The following is a 4,711-nucleotide window of genomic DNA, read 5'->3' on the forward strand; positions in this document are numbered from 1 at the left end:
GGGGCTTGGCCTAGTAAAACGTCTTCTAAAAAAAACCCAAAAAACAAAAACAAAAATCTTGCTTAAAACTTAACTGCTGACAGGGTAGAGAAGAGGGTAAAAAAGAGAATAGTTTAAAAATGCCTGGGGAAGAATCTCTTATTCTTAGGCAAGGGGTTCCTCTACCAAGAGAAAAGCTTAATTACTGTCCAATGGAGCTGAACCCCTTGACCAGAGAAGGAGAAGGCTCCAGTGGCTTGTGGTGGAAAATGCCAGCCAGCTGGCTCTGTGAGACCCTTGGGCCATGCATCCCAGCCCTGGCAGGGAGGGGAGAGCAGTGGGGAGCTGCTGCTCACCAGTGGGTCCTGAAAAAGGAAGGAAAATGCTACTAAAAGTCCCAGGAGCTAAGGGGGTTGGGGGCATGGTTTTATCTACTCTCAGGAGTCTGAGGATGAAAAGGCTTAGGAGCAACAGCGAGAGGTTTTGAGTCCCCATTTCATTCACTGCTTCTCTAGCCAAACGTTGGGTGCCAAAAATGTTGCAGAACTTTTCCTTAGTTCAGCTAAAAACAAGGTTCTTTCTCCCACAGCCATGAAAATTCAGGCTTGCAGACAATTTAAATGGTGAGTAAGACAGGGTTGTGGTGGGTGAAAAGGAAGGGGCAAGGAAGAACTCTTGGAAGGTGAGAGTCCCTGCTGGAGCATTTCCCTCCCACTTTTCAAATCCCAGGTTCCACACAGGAAGAGGAGAGGCCCGAGTCCTCCCCACTGCAAAGAGTGCAAATTTCTGTGGCTCCACCCCAGTGTGCAGGCTGGTTAGAGTATTTCTGGGGAGCCCCCTGCCACCTGCCTCTCTCACATGGATGACTCTCAAATGCATTATTCCAAGCAAAAGAAGCTATTCTCAAAAGACTGCAAACTGTGTGATTCCATGTTGATGACACTCTTACAAGACAAAACTATGGGGACAGCAAACATACCAGTGGCTGCCAGAGATCATGGTAGAAAAAGAGGTTCACAACCAAGGGAAATAAGAGAAGGAGTTGTGGTCAGAGATAACTCTGACTTCCTGGTTGTCACTCCTGCCCCCACATGGCGTGTGACTTGTTTCAGCTCCCCAAGGCTTAAGGTGCTATCCTGGGAAGCAGTGGGTTTCTCCTTCCCTGGAATTAACCAAGCAGAGGCTGGAGGAACTCTTAGCAGAGAGGTGACAGAAGTCCTGAAAGCTTTTGCCACTGACAGACAATAAATACATATTTCACCACTGACCCTATGACATGCAATAACTCTAGTCATTTCTTTTCTCTTCTCCCCTCTCCTCCTATCCCCTCCTCCTCTCTGTTTTCTTCTTCTCTATGGGTGGGGCCCAGCAATCTATGGTTCAACGGGCGTTTCAGGTGATCCTGTTGCTTCCTAGAGTTTGAGAGTCACTGCCTTAGGGAAAAGAATAGATGTGCTCCAAATTGCAAACAGGTAGGGAAAGAATTGCACCTTCATGACGATGAAAGAGTCAAAGGTGGCCTTGTACTTAACGTGTCATAATATCTGCAGTTGGAGGCTCAGGAGTTCGATCCACAGAGCAAACTCAATGAGAACACAGGGTCAGCATCCACAAACATCCTCAGAAGGGTGAAGCCTTTCAACTGTGATGCCTTCAGGAAAAATCCACAGAGGCCAGGAAGAAAAGTGATGGCAACAAAAAGTTGTTTCAAGCAAATGGGATAAAATTAGTAAGGTCATGGGTAAAATGCAGTTAAGAGATTATGAGATATTCATCCCAAGTATGATGGTGACCAAAGTCCTATTTACAAAGAGGAGATTTATGGGGATCCTGAGATAAGAAGAACTTGTGTTCAAACAAGATATTTAAAAACAAAAACTCTCATGGTTCTACAGACCTGAGAATGGGGTTAACAAGACAGTTCTCATTAAATGAAGGAGGTAGCCTAATAAATTAAGGGGATCATGAGGCCTCTGGACTCCAGTCTTCCCAGATTTGGGAAAGATCAGATGCATATGGTTTCTGCATTTTGATTCTCAGCCATGATTCGAGGCCTTTCCTTAGAATCAGGTGCCTGGCTTCGTGGTCTCCATGCCATAGGCCCTGGACCTGAGCTGTTTGTGGCAGGTTCTGTTCTCTGGGCATGTTGTACTGGGGGCCCTGACCATCCTCTTCATGTTTGATTTCCTGCTCTTGTGTGACCTGCCTAAACTTGACAGGAGTTTCTTTGTGACACTGCATCCTTTTCCTGAGAGCATGCTGACATTTGGCCCCATTTGGGGAAACTCTGGCAACATGGCAGAGCACAAATGAATGAAATTCCAGGCATTCCATTTGGAGGCAGGGATGGTCCGTCCGGAGACACAGGTGGGTCTAAAATCCTGCAAAGATTGGAAGGGCTTCATGTGGCCTAGGAATGATGACAGATTTGTGGGTCTTAACAGTGACCACCATATGGAGACACATTCCAAGAACAGAAGTTGAGTGTGCAAGGTCTGCAGACAGACGCCCAGCTCTGTCACTTTCTAACTGGGTGTGCCTGGACAACTTATGAAAAGTAGTTTCACATCTTTCTAAAATGGAAATATGAATATATTAATGGTACCTACTGTTATAGGGCCAATAGGTTTCTATGACCGCTGTGCAGTAACAGACCACTTACACTAGGTCAGCAGGGTTTGCAGCAGAGAAAGAGTTTAGTGATCACAGGGCACTGAGTGAGAAGATAGAAGAAGATCCTCAAATCCATCTCCCTGAGAAGTTCTGGGCTGGGGTTTTTAAGGATATCGTGGAGGGTGAGATGCCAGAAAATTGGGGTTGTTGATTGGTTGGGGTAAGGGGGAAGAAATAATCAGCAATTGGAAACTGCATATTTTGGTGAGTCAGCTGCTCCTGGGATCATTCAGACCCACTGAGTCAGTAGTTTAATCAGTATGCAAGACCTGAGGGAATATCTCAAAGGGAAAACATAACATTTCAAGTTGTTATTTATAGAACAGTTGATAGGAACTATAATCTTAAAAGAGGATCTACATGATTCTGAGGCCATAGGCACCAAACAACTGTGGGGAAGCAGTTAGAAAGCAGCAGACCTCATGATTAGTGCTGAAGGTGCTGCAAGCTCGGTTTATTTTCACTTCTACCCTCTTCCTCTCCCTGTCCCCAATCCCAGGATTCAGAAAGACAATTATGAGAGTTCAGAGGTGTTGGTGCCTCTATGATGCTGCAAGCAACATTTTCCAGGATGGCCTTGAGCTTGGGTGGGAAAGCAGGCATGGTAATGGGAATGGGTCAGGCACAGGCTGCTGAGGACAGAGCATTGGAAAGACCATCATGACCTTTAGAATTCTGTAATCAGTGGATTTGACCTTTCATAAATTGCCTGAAGTTCTGTAGCATGTAGCAATTCATAAATTTACAAATACAAAAACATTGCATTGTGTATTCTCTGAGGTTGGTGTATTGTAGATGGCTTAGCTAGTGAGTGAGCCTAGTAGGCTGCCAAGTGATCCTAAAATCATGGCTTAGTGGCTCTCGTGCTGTACATTGTTGAACCACTCTAACTGTTAGAAATGCCTTCCTGAAAACTTTCTCCTTCTAAAAGTCATCATTTGTATCTACATTTTGTTCCTAGTATACAAAGTGTCATTCCCTCCTCCATAAAGTCGCTTCAAATAGCTGAAGAGCTACAGCGTGGAACAGGCCAATATGGGAGACACCAGGGACTGGTAGGCCCTCATTTCAACACCGCATCAGAGGAATCCAGAGGCTTATCTAAGGGAGAACCTGTTTGTCATTGAAATCGTCCACCATTCAATGAAGTTGCAGTTCTTGCTTGAACCACTAGGTGTCACTGACACTATGCGTGGCAGACACTAGTGTGGGGCTGAGAATGAGTCCCCTGTTAAAAGTCAAACATGCCCTTTGAATCCCAATTTTGACTTAAATTGTTTTATTATCACATTACTCAAAGGCATACAAACAAAATCTAGACACCGTATGCTTATCTCAAAACAATAAAATTAAAAGTATAGAAATAGAAACAAAGCAATAACATTCAAGTTAATTTAATGTGCTAGGTAATGTTATTCTACTGGAACTAAATGGGTGATTTGGACTTTTTAACATCACTAATGTGCATTCATATTTTTTTGGTCTACTGGTCATGGACTTAAGTCTATTTACTACCCATATGATGGACCAACATTTGAGTCATTTTAAAAACTTTTACTTAAAAACTAGCTATTTTAAAAATCATCAACCCATCCTTTTCAGGTGCCAATAGATTGAAGAATACAACTCCAACAATTCAATTCAATTATACCCCATTTTACGCAATCCCTTGCTGTACTGATTCATTATAATGCTAATTACCTTTGAAATATTTCAAAAATGTTTCAAATATTTCAATCCCTTGCTGTATTGATTCATTATAATGCTAATTACATTTGAAATATTTCCCTAAAAGAGTTATATGTAAATACAAACTATTGCAGTAGCTAGTAATATTTTCTTTGTGTCCTTCAGTGAATGAGAGCTAGCCAGACCTTGGGGAGCAGAAACTACCAGGTCTGCTCCATCCTTCCTGACACTGCCACCAGGTGCAACTTGGGTCAAGCAGTGCAGCTGCTTCACCCCTGCCCTGTAGGTCTCTGTGGTCTCAAGGCCCCAACACACGTGCCTCCACCAGCTTTGTCATCAGAGGCAACATACCCCAGAACCATCGGCTGCT

General features: G+C 43.8%; 1 annotated feature.

Annotated features, from left to right (window-relative positions):
• Positions 3,767-3,836: a silencer, noted in NCBI's record as "silent region_1446". NCBI's record gives its function as "represses an Ori minimal core promoter by ATAC-STARR-seq in GM12878 lymphoblastoid cells {active_cell/tissue: GM12878}" and the evidence as "EXISTENCE:reporter gene assay evidence [ECO:0000049][PMID:35858748]".

This window comes from Homo sapiens, chromosome 1 (assembly GCF_000001405.40).
Source record: "Homo sapiens chromosome 1, GRCh38.p14 Primary Assembly".
Classification (NCBI taxonomy): Eukaryota; Metazoa; Chordata; class Mammalia; order Primates; family Hominidae; genus Homo; species Homo sapiens.